Here is a 19,602-nt window from a genome sequence, read left to right as displayed (position 1 = left end):
TTTGAATGGTTGGAATTCTGGAGCTGAGCCTTATTATCCCTTAGGACAATATTTCTCTACTGTGGCTGCACCGTGGAAACACCTAAAGACAGTGCAGAAAATATCTATGCCTTGGCCCACCATATAACAGAAACTAACTTTTTCAGGGTAAAGCATTGGCTTCCGTATCTTTCAAATTGTCCCGAGTGATTCTGATCCACAGTGAAAACTGAAAACTGTTCTAATATTCACCTTGCCGGAAAAGTAAGACTATGTGAAGTGAACCCTCCTTCAAATTGGAGAAGGAAGCTTTGAGATTTCCAGGGAAGATGGAAGACAGAACAGGTGTGTAAACTCTTGTATCTTGCTATGAACACATACATATGCTTGATAAAACATAACAAAAAAAATTTAAAAGAAGAAAAACCTCCACACGCCAAATGAAACTAAAACCCAAATTAAAGTCTTAGAGATAAATCCTTGTGACCCAAAGGGGTATTAAGAGTAGACAGACAGTTTTGTGGCGGGAGTCATAAGTAGCTCATGGATTAGGTGTCAGGACTAGGATTTTTGTATAAAGTCAAGGTGCCACATCAATGAAGAGAGACTATGAGAACTTTGTTTACCTGCTCAGGAAGTTAGTAAGAAGCATGATGGCCTCCTTGATCTATGATTGTGTTTAGAGAGCTCTTGGCTAAATTGGGGTCCCAGTACCAGAGAAGTTAGCAACTTTGCCTAAATGAAAAATGAAGGGGAGCTGGATATGGCATTTACAGTGCCTTTAAGGGATATTTCTTTAACCTGGTGAACAACCTCATACCTAGTTGCCCAAACTGTCACCAGGGGTTCACAAAGAAAACTTGTTTCTACTCACAGATGCCCTTGTGGCTCTTATCTGACCCATGTTCACTTTATACCTGCCTGACCATGGCTCTAGCACTGGGAGACTGACCTTGTGTTCTACCTGGCATCCTGGGGAAAGGCCAGCCTGGGGCAGCCCCTAGTTCTTCAGATGGAAGGTGCACTTTCAATACCCAGCACAACAGAAAACAAGTTCGGAGAGTTTTATTTACAGATTGTGGACAAGGAAGGAATAATAATTCAGGGGAGCAGTCCTCCATCCCCGGGTCTTGCAATCAACCCAGGAATGATGAGAATGATGAGTCAGGAAGAGAGAGAGCACATCTAGCGATTAGCAGCACATATAAGGGAATAGGGAATGGAGTACTTTAAATTCATGGGCAAATGCCTGATGGTCCATTTAAAGGAAGCTGTAAGAAAGCAGGGAGCCCAGTCTTCTAGGTAAGAGAGATGCTCCTAAATTCTTATTTCTGTCCACCAGCTTGAGCCATTTGGGTGCGGTGTAGAACTGGAAATTGTGTCAAGGTTGACTGAGCCCTGTTTCTGGTCTAAGAAAGTTAAAACTTGTATTCAAAATGGATATCAAGACAACATAAAATGGTAAGAATTCACTACAGGGTGGAAATACAGTCACTCTCAACAGATCAGAAACCCATACTACACTATGCATGGATGTAGGCCAAATTCACACTACTCTGTGTTGTGTGGTTCTGTGCTGATACAACACCAAAACAGACCAGGAACAATACAAACCTGCAGCTCCCAGGGAGGGAAAAAATGTTAAGCTGTCACCTGGGATAACTCCATAATGTTTAGGTATAGACAAGATTTCTGGGAAAACACAACTCTCGCTGAAGGCACACCAACAGAACAGAAATGACAAAACCTGAAGGTTAGACTAGTCAGATTTAAAAATTAGATAATTAATGGCCGTACTAGTTTTCTGTGACTGCTATAACAAATGGCCACAAACTGGGTAGCTTAAAATAACAGAACTCTGAAATCGAGGTGTTAACAGGAGCACACTCCCTCTGAAGGCTCTAGGGGAGAGTCCATTCCTTGCCTCTTCCAGCTTCCAGTGGCTCCAGGTATTTATTGGTATATAGTAACATCACTCTAATCCCTGCCTTGGTCTTTACATCACACTCTCCTCAATGTTTCTCAAAATGCCTGCTGCATTTTTCTTATAGGGATACATGTGATTACATTTAGGATCCACCTGAATAATTCAGGATAAAATCCTCTTCTTAAGGTCCTCCCTTTAGTCACATCTTTCCCCACGTATGGTGATATTTTCTCTTTTGCTGTATAGTATCCCCAGGTCCCAGGGATTAGAATGTGGAATGCCTTTTTTGGGGGCTATCATTAAGCCTACTACAACCCCTACCTAGTGAGACTAGAACAACCTGATGGAGACTTTCAACTCAACGTATTTAAAATGTGCAAAGAAGTGTAGCTAGGAAATGACTCCATGAGACATTATGAAATGACTAAGATTTTGAAAAAGGACTGGGCAATTTTGAAAAAGATCCAAATAGAAATTCTAAGAATGAAAAATACAGTAAATGAAAGAAGAGGTAAACTCAGTAAATTAAGCATCAGAATAGACAAAACTTATGAGAAAACAAGAGGTCTGAAAGGCTTCTCTGAAGAAAAATCCCTAAATGCTGCAAAGGCAAATAACAAGAGAGGAGAAATGAAGGAGAGAATGAGGAGCTCCAACACATGTCTACCTCAAGTTCTAGAAGAAAAAACATAGTATGCCCTTGAGCAATATATCCAAAAGAGAATGGTGGGATGAAACAGCACTGAAAAATGACACAAGTCCTGAGATTGAAACTAAGTCCCACATAAGAAGTAAAAAAAATGTATATCTACACACATTTTAATGAAACTAAATAATATGAAAGACAAAGAGAAAATCTAAAATGCTACTAGAAAGAAATGGCAGATGATCTAAAGAGGAATGAGAATATTGACAGAAACCTTTTCATAACAAACAATGCCAAACAATGAAAGTAATATTTCCAAAGGCTGGAGGAAAGTGACTGCTGAGCCAGGATTCCATTTTCAGCTATACTAGCACCTTTCCATGCAGAGAAAAACTAAGAGTTTTCTACTTACACACCCTTACTGAAAGAATTAATAAAGACTTTAAAGAAAGAAAACTGAGTACTAGGAAGAGAATAACAGGAAAGAATATTTTGTTTATGAGGTTATGGAAGTCTTCTTAAAAAAGGATATTGCAAAATCTGCAATATGAAAAAGGTCCATTAAAAAGTTGGAGCAAAAGATTTTCCAGAAGAGGAAATAAAATATGCAAAATTCTTGAGTGATGAAAGGTATTGGAATATAGGTGAGAGAAGGCAAATATGGTGTGAGGAGAAGTTTCAGACATTTTCAACAGCACTATCTTTTGTGACCTTGTAGACCATGACAGGGAATTCAAGTTTTATTCTAAGTGAAATGAAAAGTCATTTTTAAAGAAAAAAATGAGAATGACAGAACTCAAAATAAATTTTTAAAAGTTCTCCTAGAAAATTGAAGACATAAGTAAGAATTTGAAGTCCAGTCCAAGAGGGTGGTTTAGTATTTAAATGATAGAATTTCCTGAGAGAAAACACAGAGAAGAATTAATCAACAATATAATTCAAGAAAATTTCCCAGAACTGAAAAAAATGAGTTTCTAGATGGAAACAGCTCATTGAAGTATCCAGCACAGTGCATTAACGTAAACCTAAGACACATCTTCGTAAAATTTCAGAATACTAAATATGAAAAGATTTTTAAAATTTCCAGATTTAAAAAAAGGATTACATTTTTGAAATCAATAATCAGGACACTTTGGACCTCTCAACAGCCTCACTTAAAGTTAGAAGACAATCAATATATGCCTTCAAAAATTTTAAGAAAAAATTCAAACTAATATTCTATATTCAGGCAAACTGTTAGTTAAGTTTCAGGGTACAATAAAAGCATTTTCAGACACAATGAGTCTCCAAAAATTTCTTGTTTGCCTTTTCTTAGAAAGCTATTGGAGGATGAGTTCCACCAAATCAAGAGGTAAACCAAGAAAAGGAAGACATAGAATAGTGGAGGCAGGAAGGAAGGAGATACATGCAGAACAAAAACGGGAAAAGTCCAAGTTCTGGAAGAGAAAGATCCCAGATGATGGCTCTGCAACAGGTTGGGAGGTCATATGTCTAGATTGCATCAGATGAGAAGGCTACAGGAGACATTGTCCAGGTGGATTGAATGGGTAAAATACATGATGCACTGGAATGTTTTGAGAGGAAATTTAGACAAATAGCTAAGAGCCTGGGTTTGAATAACGATAATTAGAAAACTAAGACAGCAAACAAACAAAAGTCAATTACTAACTCCTAAGAAAACAAAATACAGAAAAGGAAAATAGTCATGGTTTACTGTATGCCTCAGCTCCAAATAGCACTTTCATTGTCATAATAATATAAAAAGTTAACAATGGGTCAGACACAGTGTCTCATGCCTGTAATCCTAGCACTTTGAGAGACCGAGGCGGGCAGATCATGAGGTCAGGAGTTCAAGACCAGCCTGGCCAGCATGGTGAAATGCTGTCTCTACTAAAAATAGAAAAATCAGCCAGAGAATGGTGGCCTGCACCTGTAGTCCCAGATACTCTGGAGGCTGAGGCAGGAGAATCACTTGAACCTGGGAGGCGGAGATTGCAGTGAGCTGAGATCGTGCCACTACACTTCAGCCTGGGTGACAGAGCAAGACTCTATCTCAAAAAAAAAAAAAAAAAAAGGCTGAACAATGATCTAATCATGTATTTAGGAGATGATTCAGCTAGGGAAAAGGAAAGGGTGGAGAGTAGAGGTAGGATTTGTAACAGAGATTTTCCCAAGCCTAGAGATATTGGTCGGTGTGGAGTCCTCAAATTGCACAGGGAAGAGGTAGACTTTGGGGAAATGGCTGTGATGTGTCTGGGAACATTCTGTCCTAGACACAGAGCTCTCAGTTGTGGCACCAGAGCCACTAGATCATGATGGAGAGGACATTAGAGACCCTTCTCATATTTCCTAGGTATCAACGGGCCTTGGGATTCATGGGGTACCTTATGAAAGGGAGGCACGCCAAGTGATGCTTAAGGCTGATTTTGCTCCTGCAGGATATGGGCTAGAACCAGACATAGCCTGATTTAAAGGAAATGAAGCAAGTGACATTTTGCACATTTGGGTTTGGTAGCTACAAATCCATATCTACTATAGGAGAAAAGGGTCTTTATGGAAATTGTTTTATTGTCTGTGTGGCAACTGACTCTAAAATCAGTTGTATATAGTGTGATGTGCATGTACACGTTAAATACACCTCATATCCCAGAGGTGATCAACATAAACAGAGCCCACATGAAAAGTGACTTGAGTAGTTAACTGGCATTTAAAATTTTTATATCAATATCAGAAAGTGTCTTAATTAGCATAAAATATATTAGAGTTTTTCTTATTTTTTGGCAGAAATGACTGATTTTGAAGATTGAGAATTAGGAATATTGTACAGATGCTGTCATTCCTACATGAAGGAGGCAGAAGAATGTAGCAAGCTCAGCTCTCTAATGCCAGGAGTGGCACTTTCAGTGACCAGAGCTCCCTGGGTCCTCTGTGTATCCCTCCCCTGTCAACTGATTCAACAGAGGCTGGGCTGGTCCTGGCATTAGCACATTTTTGAATCTGCCTTTGGCTGTGACTTCACCCAAAGACAGAAAGGGGAAGTTTCTGGTCTACATAGCCAACATGTGGTCTTGATAATAAATCATTGCTTGTTTGGAAGAATTTGGTCTGAGCCTTACTTTTATTGTAAAACACTACCTGTAGATGGCAGATGGGGCATGGGACCTTTAGGCCTTATCCAGCTCTAAACATGGGAGGCTACCAAAGACTCTGACGTTTGGCAAATGGCCAAATTTGCAGAGATCTTATTGCAAGAGAGGCGTTCCTAAATCTGAGTTCTAACATCACCCCTTTTCTAGCTCCAGAGCCCCATTGCTAGGCAGCTCCCTTCACCTGGAGACTCATCCTCCCCTAGACTAATGAGTGAAAGTGGGTGGGATTAGTATTAAGTTGTGCAAAAAGCAATTGTGGTTTTTGCCAAAGTTGTGTCAAAGACTGGAATTGCTTTTGCACCAACCTAAGCACTGGGCCATAGGAAGGCACCAAAAATACCTAGCTGGTGGCTCTGGCGTGACTTTTTGCTTAAGCTTAGTGGCTAAATTCTCATCCTGTCCCTAATGACGAAAGTCCTTCCTCACATCCCAGGTTCAATTTGCTAGAGACTGTCTAGTCTCCTTGAACTTTGAATCTTGGCTTTAGCTCCTGCTGATAACCTCATTCCTACAGGACTGGGCCACGGAACTGCTTTATACCAGTCTCTCGGTGGCCTGGAGCCCAGACCCTGAACCTAAGTCATATGGCCAGCCCAGACCCTAACTTCAAGGCTTCCTTATGCCAGTCAGGTACCTGCCTTTCTGCCTATTGCCTGGAGCTGAGCCCCCTGCGTTCTTCAATTTCATAGAGTTGACTAAGGATTAAATGAGTTAATGTATGAAACTCCTTGGCAAATACTAAGCATTATCTTTACTGGTTAATTTCTTTTGACAGTTTTTGACAGCTTCCTTAACTCTTAGTGACTCAGTTTTCTCATCTGTAAACTGGGAATAATAATAGTACCTGCCTCCTGGGATAGGTGTAAGGGTTGGATGAGTTAAGAATCTGTAGTGAGATGAGTAATGTCCCCTCCAAAAAAAGATATACCCACCTCCTAATCTCCAGAACCTGTGAATATTAACTTATATGGCAAAAGTTGTGATGAAGTTAAAGATCTTGAGAGAAGGCACTTATCTGGATTTTCTGGGTGAGCCCTAAAGGCAATCCCATGTATCCTTATAAAACAGATACCCATCACACCTGTAATCCCAGCACTTTGGGAGGCTTGGGCAGGTGGGTCATGAGGTCAGGAGATCGAGACCATCCTGGCCAACATGGTGAAACCCCGTCTCTACTAAAAATACAAAAATTAGCTGGGCGTGGTGGTGTGCACCTGTAGTCCCAGCTACTCAGGAGGCTGAGGCAGGATAATTGCCTGAACCTGGGAGGCAGAGGTTGCAGTGAGCCGAGATCACGCCACTGCACTCCAGCCTGGCAATACAGCAAGACTCCATCAAAAAAAAAAAAAGAAAGGAAAAGAAAAGAAAGAAAGAAAAGAAAAGAAGAAAGAAAAGAAGAGAAAAGAAAGGAAAGGAAAGAAAAGAAAAGAAAAGAAAAAAGCAGACACCCAGGGAAGAAGACATATGAAGAGGAGAAGGTAATTTGATCAAGAAGGCAGAGACTGGAGTGATGTAACCACCAGCAAGGAACGTCTGGAGCCACCAATGGCTGGGGCAAGTAAGGAAACGATTCTCCCGCAGAGCCTTCCAAGGGAGTGCAGCTCTGCCAACCTCTTACTTTCAGATTTCTGGCCTCCAGAACTGTAAGAAATTAAACTTCTGTTGTCTTAAGCCACCTAGTCTGTGGTAATTTATTACAGCAGCCACAAGATACTAATACACATGTATAACACCCTGGCACAGAAGAAGGATTCATTTTGTTGGTTTATTCTAAAAGTAAGTATGTCTGTTCTAATGATGTTATTAATAGTAATACTTCAGGAGCATTTTTCTCATCCAAGAAAATAGGCACCCTTATGCATGCATGGAAGGAGTATTTGAAGAGGGAAGGCCAGATGGGATACACAGGGAAGCAAGAGAGGGCTCTGGGACACGGCTTCAGGTTTGGAATTTAAATTGATACCATTATAATTGTACCAATAACAGGAATATACAAATGTAGTCTGGTAAAAGTCAGGATCTTTAGTAGTCCAAACTGGATTGTGGCTTGCCAAGGCATTAGTCATTAAACTTTCCTCCTTCAATCCACAGTTTCTTTGAGGGGGATGTACACAAGTCGTTTTGCCCCTTTTATGGCATTGCATTTTCCAAGTCTCTGCTGAGTTTTCACCTGATTGTATTTTTTTTAACTCAAGAAAAACATACCTGCACCACTGAGAGGAGGTATTCAGGAGGCAATGTTTCTGAGGATTCTGAGTTTTGGAGCGTCTATTGCCAAGCCTATGGCAGGAATGTTGCCCAGATGCTGGTGTGCCTCTCAGAGGGTTGAGAAGAGGCCAGACCCTGGGAAATCCAACTGTGAAATACTGAGAACAAGAATGTGGGCAGACCATTCTGATGGTAAGAAAGAGACAGCCCGTAGGACCCCTGAAAAGCCACCCTAATTTTGTCCTCCCCCACCATTATGATTTCAGAAACACTGGTGCATAGAAAGGCCAAGAGAGTGAGGCATTTTTAATTCAGTTACTTATACTCCTGAGTCATTCAGATCCTCAAAGCGGCCTCAACCCTAGGATGCCACAATACACACATCTCTTGGGATGTTTCTAAGGTTTAATCTTTTCAAAACCCTGGTGATTCTGTCTTCTTGCTCTGTGCCGTCCAACATGGTAGCCACTAGCCATATGTGGCTATTTAAATACAAGCTAATTGAAATTAAATCAAAATTCAAATTCAGTTCTTTAGTCACACTGGCCATGTTTCAAGTGTCCACTAGCCACATGTGGGTAGAGGCTACCATATTGGACAGTACAGATAGGGCATTTATATTGTTTCAGAAAGTAAAGCAATTGACAGTGATGTTCTAGTTATCTAAGGTGTAAGTTGAAAATATCAGAATTATGGATAGATCAGACAGGAAACTTATTTCTATGACTAACCACTTACTCTCACTACCTTCAACTAATGAGCACTACAGGCATCTACAGTGATCCTATCTAAAAATACATACATATAGCTGGGTGCAGTGGTGTGCACCTATAGTCCCAGGGAGTCAGAAGGCTAAGGCAGGAGGATGGCTTGAGCCCAGGGAGTCAGAAGGCTAAGGCAGGAGGATGGCTTGAGCCCAGGGGTTTGAGTCTGCAGTGAGCTATGATCATGCTTGTGAATAGCCAGTGCACTCCAGCCTGGGCAACATTACAAGAACCTGTCTTTAAACAAAACCAAAACCAAACACAGACATATATACATATAGAATAAAGAGAACACCATGCTTGTGGAAATTCTATACATTTTTAAAAATTAATCATCATGTCATTTTTAGTCTCTCTTTTGGAGTATGTTATTTATTGTAAGACATCATTTTTATTAAATACACTGTAGTACAAGAGACTTTCCATGTCAGGTTGAGAGAAGCTGGTCACATGATTTACAAACAAAACTTTTTTTTTTTTAAACACTGTATTCAGGTGTCACTTTGAAATCAGCCAAGATGCAGTGGGTCTTAGTAAAGCAATGGACCTCAAAACAGATTGCAAAACAAGAACTGGTAAGTATTAGCACAGAGACATCACATTAAAAGGAAGATAAGCCAAATGAAAAGGAGAGTTCCAAATACCAGGTCACGATTGAAGGGGAAATATATCTGTAGAGAGATATGGAAATGTGTGTGTATACGGCCTGGATATATACAAACATCTCTCCAGATACAGAAGCAAATGCAGAATGTCCACATCTCCAGGCAGATTTGTAAGTCATAGGTAATGATCAAAGAACGCAGGGAGCAATAGTTCACCATAATTTGGTCATTTGTCAAGGGATTACATATTTAAAATCCACATTTAATTCAAAGACCTTGTATTTAAAACATTTCCAGCTGCTTTATACATTTTTTAAGCAATAGTAAGATATACAAGCTGCAAGATATAGGCCTTTACATTTCATTTTCTGTAATATTTTTCCTGTTCAAACACATGGCTACTAGCAGCTTTTATGATGCTTGCTCCAGTACATTGAACGTTCAGCTAACCTCCACTCAGGATCATTTTCATTAATGCATAGACTAAAGAAATAAATAAACATGGACCTGGCCTCAAACGCATAGACTAAAAAATGACATCCCCATCTTTTCTCATTTCGTCTCCTGAGATGTATGTTAAGATGGCAAAATAGTTGCTTGGTGGTGGTTGTTGTGAAATTCACAGTGTTTTGCCTACAACACATATACAGATATATATATATATATTTTTTTTTTTGCTTTGCTTTGTGTTTGTGCTGAATGGAGCAAAAGTATATAAATAAATAAATAAATACATAATTAAATAAATAAAGGTCAAAGGAAAAGGAGGGGAAATGCAAAAACTAAGGATATTCAAGAACCTTTGACTTGAGCAGCAGTGATTCATTCCAGCCCTGACAACAAGAAAATACCCCTTCCTGCACTGTCGTTTCTAACTATAAATCCCTCCCACCCCTCATTCTTTAGAATGACATTTGAAATTCATGTACAAGCTATCACAACCTCAGAGGCTCCACATTCCAATTATGCATCATAAAAAATCAGCTGTAACTACTAACTTAGACATTTGGAGAGTTGGGTCACTAGCCATTCCTCTCATGAGATTTCCTATAACAGTGATATATGGCCAAACCAAAGGTCAACATTGAAAATAAAAGTCCTGAGACAGGGGATGAAAAAGAAAATGGGGAAGCAAGAGAATTGAGGGTATGTGTGTATATGCAGTCATTTATTTAGTTAGATACAACAATGTTATTGGTATTACAGGCAGTCCAATTTGTGAAAAGAAAGATTCAAAGAAAGTCCATACTTGACCAGGTAATCCTGCTGTTAGGACGCTTTGAAAAGGACAGCATTCTATACTGTTAGTTGGTGCATTCACTCTAGGATGTGGGAATTCCTAAGAGTTGCTCATCTCGCTGTGGGGTCTTGGACTGCTCATCATTGGCCTTCAAGCCACTGGGCTGCCAACATTCCAATTTATATTTGGAATGCTTGAACTCTGAACTCAAGTGTAAAGGGGTCACAGTGAGACAGAGACAAGGTGAGCATAATACAAATGTGCTGAAAGACAAAAAGAAAGCAATGTTCCTTTCCTGGACCATTACAAAAAGTATCTTTCTTTGCAAGGAGCCAGAGAAAGCACTCAATGTAGTGGGATGGCTTTTATTCAGTTGTTTTGGGAAGCACATTATCTTAAATATGTCTTCCACCCATGCAGTACTGCACAGAGTTGAAAAGTGTGATGTAGTCCTACCCACGTGGAGTATGGAAGCACTAACAGCAACATGACGTTAAACAGTTTTGGTTATTTAGCATATTTTAAGCAAATTATTCATACCGCATCCTACTTATAATTACCTCTATTATTGTGTGCCTATAAATTTATACATAAACACACAAACACACTACGTATGTGCATTTGTATATGTATAAATCAAGTATTTATAACACATACATAAATACATGAAAACATCACAGGTAGCGCTGATGTGAACACATGTATAATATGAATTCTGATATAATCTTTTATAGCATAGTTCAAAGTGTTTTCTAAATAAGCCTGATTATGACATTGGTTCAGTGTACAAGAATTTAGCTGAATTTAGCTGAAGCTAAGAGCATGATTATATATCACAATATCTCAGTTGCTTGTCATCTCCTGTATTTCCTTTTGTTCTTCTAACTTCATATACTGCTTCATGAATGTGTTAGCATGCTTTCTTTCCTGAACTGCTTGTTTGCATATTAGAGTCTCTAGTGGACAGAACCACGAAGTTCAGAGTGAGAGTACTTGGATTCAGTCCCAATGGTGCTGGAAGCTAGGCTGGAGACCTCTAGCGTGCCTCTGAATGTCTCTGAGTCTCAACGTCCTCATCTACACAAAATAGGAATAATTTGCTAACACACATGGAAAGTGTTTGGAAAACTATTCAATGACTTCTAAATGGAAATGATTGTCAGACCAGGTTTGGGCTAGAGAATTAGGTTTGTCACTGTTATACTGTTGTAGTTTTCACAAATTTGATGGAAGGCCGTATTTGGTGATCATTACATTTTAGAACGAGGATGCCACTCTTCTAAAAATCAGACCATGAGAAAGGGGGTGGTGGAGGAACAACAATGAATAATTTCAGATATTCTGTGGCTCGTTCAGCTACTTTAAAAGCAATCTGATATTCTTTCAATTTGAGATGTCTCTGAAATCAGCACATACTCTTAAGACAACAGAGATAGTAATAGTAATAATCAGCAATAAAAATAACTATAAAACTTTGCACTTGCATAGAACCTTTTATTTCAAGACCTTTAGGGACTTGTCAGAAGGTATAAGTGGAATTTTATTTTATTTTTTGCTTTTTTCTTTCAGAGAAAAAAAAGACAAAACTGGAATGGGATGCTCCCAAAGTCTCATTTGCCTTAAACAAATCTTTGCTCTAAAATTGCACATTCCTCCTTGAATTTGATCCCTTAAATTATTACCTACTTTATTCTCTTAAAATAAAATAAATAACTTGTAGCTTTTCCCCCGAGATTAGCTGGCCAGACATGCAGCGTGACAAACCTGTGTTGGTTTTTGCTGATGGAATCTAGAAAAGTTTTTGTACAAATCTGCCCCTTCCTTACTGCGTCACAGAGTTCTACAGTGTTTTAAGAGTACCATGGGTCCTTAATATGATACATACATGCACATGTATGTATATATATGTGCACATATATATCATGGAGATATGGCTTTCATTATGTTATTATGTGTATTCTAGAGGGTTTTTTTAAAATCATCAACAAAGAGAACAAACGACCCAACTCTCATCTCTCATAGGCCAGCATATAACTTGAATGGACGTAAGGTTTATCTTGTCAACTCCCTCGCTTGACTGCAGTTGCTACTGGATTTCCTTTTGTTCTGTTAATTTGCACTTTTGAATTTTTGAGAATTGGCTTTCAAAGCCTTTAATGAAAAATAAGGTGTTCCAGTAATTAACAGGCGCAAGCAAAACCTAAAACAGAGCTATCGCACCTTCAGAAACAAATATGAAATAACATGACCTAAGATGAATGAAAATCACTCCCTTTCAATCTGGCTCATGTTATAAAGATGTCAAGTTTAGCAAAATTCCCCTCACAGAGGGTAGCAAGTTTTCTTGAGGAACAGAAATATTTTTCTTTCTTGGTATATCTGACCATTCAAATAGCTGTAAATTTCTATTTAAATTTGAGCCCTCTTTTTGCAAAACCAATGACTATGCCTAGAAGCACACTTCCAGTGCTTGGTCTGGGCACAGCCTCCCGTTGGCATGCTGTGCCAAATTTTGTATTTTGACTTTTTGAATGGAGTGAAGGAAACAAAAACAGCATACTGACAATGGAGTACACTTGGAATGAAACCACTCTCCCAACTAGAGCCCAGAGCAAGGGACTTGACCTGTGTACACTGAACATGAGTGCATGTGATGCCCTCAGGGTGAGGTTTCCTTTCCCTTAGGGATTGATTCTGCCCTTCCCACAGTCCTGTGGGTTCGACGTGGATGAGGATTTCCAGGCTTCAGGGTCCATATTCATTAAAACCCATCACCACCGTACAACGCAGAGACATTGATACTCAGCTAATAAACTCCATTAGCTTCCCCTAATTGTATAAGTCATACCTTTTTATGGATCTGCTCTACCTATCAGGGAAACGACGTCTGGAGCAGTAGTGTCTGCACACAAGGTATTAATCGACGAAGACCATGCACAATTTTGCTTGCACAGTTAAAAGGACGGGTGGGCATGGAAGTTAGGGGTCGGAGGGAAGTGAGATCTGAAAAGTTCATTGTAAAAGAAACTTGCCTCCGAATTTATAGCTTGTCTTATCTTTTCCAAGTTCTTGGCTTTCCCACCTGACCCCGAAATGAGCTCTGGACATGAATCCACCTCTTTTCAACTGAAGTTGACAAAGGTTCTGTGGATAGCGCTTGAGAAACAAACCAGTGCTATCATCACAACCTACGAAGACAAAACTGTGTCCGAGCACACTATGCGCCATCTTGTGTCTCACGGAAGCCATCTTTGCTCTCTACTGCACGCTATCATTTCTGGTGATGGGAAAAGAATCATCCATGGCACAGAGGCCAGTAGTCTTTTTACTCCTCAGAAAGGTCCTCAGGGGAAGGTGCCGAATACATTCTTCCCAGCTAACAGTTGCTGAGTATTTCCTAAGTAGGGACTGACACCAGCTGATCCCAGTGGTTGTCTTTGTTCCTCCCATATTGCGGTTCATAATAAATCTTCTTTCTCTCTGGTTTTAATCTCCCATAGATAAAGGCTTCACAGATTGAACACAAGTTTTCTTTTTTATACACAGGCTTAAGCCATCCAAAAACAATAAGAACAGTAATAATAATAAATAAATAGAAGTGAATCCATAGAAACTCTCGATATCTGTACAGCAGAAGTGACAAAGTTTAAGTGAAATATTTGTTTTCCCTTTTTTTCATCCACATCAAAGGCAGGAATACAACAAGGCATTGTTAGTTGTGGTGGGCAAACTGGAGTGTCTGCTGATATAACAAATTACGTTTGTTAAGGCCTTTGTCTATGCAGAGTTAATAGTAATGCAGAAGCCAGATTGATTCAAAAGAAAGGGTAAGAATCGTGAAGCAGGGAAGACGAAAAAAAAAAGAAAAAGAAAATTTAAAAAAAGAAAAAGGAACAACCAAGGGAGATGGAAAGAGAGAAAGAGATAATGCCAAAAAGAAGTCAATACTGTGTCTATGGATGAAGAAGTACACACTGCTTCCCTCGAGAGCTTCTCGGAGTCTTTGATGTTAATACTGTCAGAGTGAAGGAGAGCAGCTTGGTGGCCTCCAGCGGCAGTTAAAAGATGTTCATCCTCTCAGCCCGTCTGAGGAGTACGTTGGGAAGGATCGGTCTGGGGAAAAGGGCCCTAGCCTAGAATGTCCAGGTAGACCGGAGATGCCTTGGCCAAGTTCTGAAGGAGGGTATGGATGCCCTTGATGTTCTTCCTCATGTGGGGCTCTCGCTGCCAGCACCCCAGCATCAGCTCATACACCTCCTGGGGGCACGTGCGGGGTCGCTGCAGGACTCGGCCCTGAGTGATACACTCTATCACCTGGATGGAGATCAAAGATAGGATGAGACAGGAGGAAAAGCAATGCACATCGAAGAAATGTCAGTGCAAAAAAACAGCAGAAGAGAGGGCTTTTACAAAAGAAGCCCACTCTTGGTTTTGTTTTCTCAGAAGGAAGAGAGCAATTATTATAGGTTAGTTTATATCGTGTTTATTTTGATTGGCTTATATCCATTTGTCCAAGCCACTCTGATTTCACAAAACTGGTGGAAAAATAATTTATATGGAATGGTCCCAAACCTCACACTGGAGCTCCCACATGTTGTGGTTTTTATTGGTCTGAGATGGAACCTGAGTCACCTGGGTGTTAAGGCACTGACTGACAGGAAACCTCTCAGGCTATTGGATAAAGGAACTGGATTAAAAAGATAGAAATGGATCTGAAAAAGATGTACGGTGCCTGATCAAGATGCTGTGCCTCAAATATAAACAATATTTGCAAGCGTAAGAATAGAAAAAACAAAATGCTTGAGTTTTTCACTAGAAGTTAATGTTCTGGTGAAATATTCAAAAAGGAAAGAATCTTGAAACTTCATTGGAACAATACTAAAGAACTTGCTGGACTGTATGGATTCTGGAATGCTACGTCTGCTATTAATTTATCAGATGAGCTGCATAAAGTGACTCCTCAGTCCCATCACCAGAGGAGCAAGGACATAGCAGCGAGCACTGTGCTTTGCTTTCTCAGAGTGATTATACTTTGACCATGAAATTTAGAAACATAGCAGGCTACTTGGGAAGTGCTGCCACCAACAAAGCCCATAAGATCGTGTCCTGACATGGTCTTCCAACCCAAAACAAGGCCCCAGCCAATGGATGCCTCTGGGATCTCAGCCCTCTGGAGGGTCTTGGCCAGACCCATTGCACACCTCATTGTTTGACAGCTGGTACCAGGGCTGTTTGCCATAGGTGAAAATCTCCCACAACACGACCCCCAGGCTCCAGACGTCGCTTTCCGTCGTGAATTTCCTGTACATGATGCTCTCTGGAGGCATCCAGCGAATGGGCAGCATTGTGTGGCCACCGACCTGGGGAGAAAGGGATCAACAGGGAGGCATCAGTCACCCCGAAACCAGGTGTGGAAGGGAGCTGCTGGGGGACACTGTTTGCTTTCCTTATTTGCACTTTATAGTTTTAATTGTTTATAAACACATAAAGGATATATGACTTCTTCACAGTCTCAAGCAACAGAGACAGAAGGCAAAGAGTGATCAAAATCATTTAAAAAAATATTATCTGCAATTCTTTCTCTCAAAACCAGATAGGAGCAGGGATGATGATTAGGTAGATGATCACCTTGGATAAATAAAACTACACACACATACACACACTTTCTGCTAAGAGGATGACTCAATCTTCTAATTAACAAGATCACTTTGACCAGGAGAACAAAGAGGTACTCTGCATCCAAAATGACCAACCAGTGACTCTACTTCCTTGGCAAGGCCAGAGTCTCCTTCTGCTTTCAGGTCTTATGTGTGCATGATGCTGATTCAAACCCCTCCACCATCACTCAGCGATGGGCAGGTCAGGCATCATTATTCTCATTCTACAAATAAGGCAATAAGATTCAGATTGCTTACAGAAACAAAACTCAGGTCTTTGGATTCTAAGCTCAGGACTTTCCTCTATTACAGGGCACTGCTCCTTAGATTATTTACCACAATAGATAAATACATTTTTTAAATGCCCATTTTAATGAAAACACTGAGACTGGGGCATCAGATAGCAATCGCATTAGTACAGGCAAAGAAAACTTTCTTTGACAAAGTAAAATTGTATATGACTTCCTACTTCATGGAGGAAAGTTAGGAAGCTCATTTCCAGGTTTGTCAGGGATGCCCGATTTCAAACCCATGAACAGATTTCTGCACAGTAGTCCTGTGGCGGTAGGTTCTGCTTTTCATCCTGGTAACCCCCCAGCACCACCATGCTACACAGTATGCCTGACAGCTGAGAGCAGGTGGGCTTATCCTACAGCAGAAAATTGGACCTCTCTAACAACTCTGGGTCCTGAGTTTATAGAGTAATGGTGCATAGAGTTTCTGCCCAATTCTAATCTCAATATCCAGTTAGTATTTATTAAAGGAAGAAAATAAACTAATAGTGTCTGGAAAATGTTCCCCTACCCCAGAACCCAAGAGGCTGAAATGTCAGAGATGTCTAACATGCTTGGTGATTCCCAGTGATGTTCTTAGCACCAAAGAAAGCACAAGAGTACAAAAGGGGGAGGATATTTTATTTCATTCTTCTCTGTATGATGCATCCAAATTTGACAAATAGGGACAAAAACTTCTGGCTCAGGTGACCCATCTCTACTATTCAGTTTTTAATAAACAAAAAGCTCATAAAGGCTAAGTTGGCTTCCATTGGCCTTAGATTTCCTCACTCTTCCTTCAGCAGTGACAGGTCATCAGTGTTCAATGGACAGAGACTTCTCTTATGGTCTTACTTGATGTCTGAAGGTGGTGGCAACAGTCACCCTCAGGGTCGATACTCAAACTGCAATCAGTGTGGCACAGACACTGACCAACCAGAAAGGATGTGGGTAGTAAATATGGGTGCAGCTATTTCAGCACATTTCTGGTTTGGCAAATATCTGCCCTGTTTATAACTCTGTGACCCCCAGGTGCCCAGGACTTTGGGAGAGGGAATCTGCTGACATACACAGAGGACCTGTTGTTTCCAGATGCTTTGGAGGACTTGCGGTATGAGGGTAGAATGATCTCACCAGGTCTGGGCAGCCCACATGGCAATGCCAAGGAGAGGACTGCTTTGGGCCATGCAGGGATGCTGCTGCCACCTTGCAGAGGTGGGCAAATGACCCTTCTGTTTATGTGCCAGAAAAGGCTGGGCACTTTGGCACACACATTTTCAAAGATTGTTAACCCCTAGAATAAAGCATCTCTAGTCTCCTTGCCATTCTCTGAAGCCATAATTGGAATGTACCATATGGTTTAGAAAACATCTATACACGTCTGGTGTCATTTAATTGTGTGAGCAAACCATAAAGAACTCAGGACTCTTGGTGGCACCTCTAGCCTACAGATGATGAAATTGCTCCTGGCAATTATGTGACCTTGCCTGGGTGGTGCAGATAGGACAGAGGTCTACACATTTTAACAGACCATTTTCATCCACACAGCAAGCATTTTATGGGAACCTCTTAAGATACAAACATGGCATTGTTTTGCTTACCTAACATGCAAAAAAAAATGGGTAAGATGAAATCAAAGGGAAAAATAATCCCTTCTGCTATACATCTTATTTTTAACCTTACCTCTCTCATTTTAACCTTCTTCCTACCCTATAAAGAAGAGCTCATTTCATCATTGTTCATGTCAGCATAGTGCTATGGTGCAACCAGCTCCACTGTGCATTTTGGTGTTGCTGTTCTTTCTCGTTAGATAAAATAGAACCCCAGTGGTCAAAGTGGGCTTAGAGAAGTAGGAATCTTAAAATAAAGACTGGGACCTGGTCTTCTTGTTATGCTGTCTGAGTTGTGTTATTTTAACAACCCCAGAAGTTCCTAGATCAAATATGTCAAATGTACTGTAAATTGCAACCCTCTTCAATTCAAGGAGATCCATCAGGGACTGAGGCTTATTAAAGTATGTGAGGAGTTTGGCAGGAAAGAACAAACTTAACTTTGGTAAATTAAACTATTTGAATGTATGTTTGTGGGAGAGATAACCATTTATATATGTCTCAGGTAAGACAGCTAAAAATACACTTTGAGGTGTGTTAATCTAGCAAGATCTCAGGATTTCCATATCTACCTGGATATTCACAGCTGCAATGCAGTGGATGACAATAGCTGGTTTCCAATCGCTCACTTACCTGTTTCCTACTGGGGTAACCTGGACTAGTTGCCAAATCTCTCTGTGGCCAAGGTTTAATAATTATATGTAAGTAATAATGTATACCTCCTAATGTTGTTGGGAGGTATTTACTCAAGCAGGCATTTGTGAAAGTGTTTTCTAAGTCTTAAAGTATTAATGCTTTTGAGGTGTGGCTTTCTTCTCTGGAACCTTCACTCTCTTACTTACTCCAGAAGCAGCCATTCTGGAGACATTAAGAAGAATCATCATATGTCACTCTCCTGAACTCTTCATTTGGCCTTAACCAAGTGGCTCCTTTGATAGCAGCACCCACTTTTTTTGGTCATTAGCAATGCAAGATAGAAAACCTGATACTGGTTCTCTATCCTGAATTGCTAATAGCCAAGAAAAAGCTTCTGTTTCCTTTAAAGAAGAGAGAGAGAACAAAAGATTCACGTTTTGATTTACATGTTTTCTCATCTGATCATTTATTTTCTGCTTGCTGTCTCTTTGGGGCAGATTTTTCACTCTAATTCTTTCAAGAATCCCTTCTGGGATTTCACGCATGCTGTTATAAATAATGCTTTCCTTGTTCAGATGTCAAATGGGTGAGTGGTGGGACAATCTAATAAAAGTTCAGACAGGGTTCACAAGTTTTCTAAGCCCATTTAGTACATTTCTGAACATTTCTTTTGCAACCCTTTCTCAGAATTTTGAAGCATGTCACAAAAGTAGACCCTCCCCCCAAAAAAGTCACTGTTGTTACAAATTACTGTCACATTCTAGTTATAGTCACTTGATGGTTTTTGGACCACACAAACAACACACTGTGCAGCAACAAACACAATGAGACATTTGTTTTGTATCGTACTACTTGGCAACTTGCCCTCATGCCCTTGCTTAAATATTTGTGAGATGGAATGTGATCCCA

At 40.2% G+C, this 19,602-nt stretch overlaps 1 protein-coding gene and 1 long non-coding RNA gene across 17 annotated transcripts in view; one reads left to right on the top strand and one right to left on the bottom strand.

The window, feature by feature from the left end:
• Positions 1 to 236: 236 nt before the first annotated feature.
• On the top strand, positions 237 to 5,468 carry LOC105376118 (uncharacterized). Its single transcript, XR_001746806.2, has 3 exons — positions 237 to 324; positions 1,322 to 1,440; positions 5,337 to 5,468. It is a non-coding gene; the product is annotated as an uncharacterized LOC105376118 (long non-coding RNA).
• Positions 9,030 to 19,602, bottom strand: part of NTRK2 (neurotrophic receptor tyrosine kinase 2) — a 358,533-nt gene continuing 347,960 nt past the window's right edge. For all 16 annotated transcript variants that reach the window (XM_017014751.3, XM_017014753.3, XM_047423432.1 and 13 more), the window contains 2 exons: positions 15,720 to 15,878; positions 9,030 to 14,832 (listed from right to left, as the gene is read on the bottom strand). In XM_017014751.3, the coding sequence (XP_016870240.1) occupies positions 14,647 to 14,832; positions 15,720 to 15,878 (345 nt within the window). In that variant the 3' untranslated portion in view covers positions 9,030 to 14,646. The remainder of the gene's footprint in view (positions 14,833 to 15,719; positions 15,879 to 19,602) is intronic.

Source organism: Homo sapiens, chromosome 9, assembly GCF_000001405.40.
Source record: "Homo sapiens chromosome 9, GRCh38.p14 Primary Assembly".
In the NCBI taxonomy this organism is placed as follows: Eukaryota; Metazoa; Chordata; class Mammalia; order Primates; family Hominidae; genus Homo; species Homo sapiens.
This window is presented reverse-complemented; position numbering and strand designations above follow the sequence as displayed.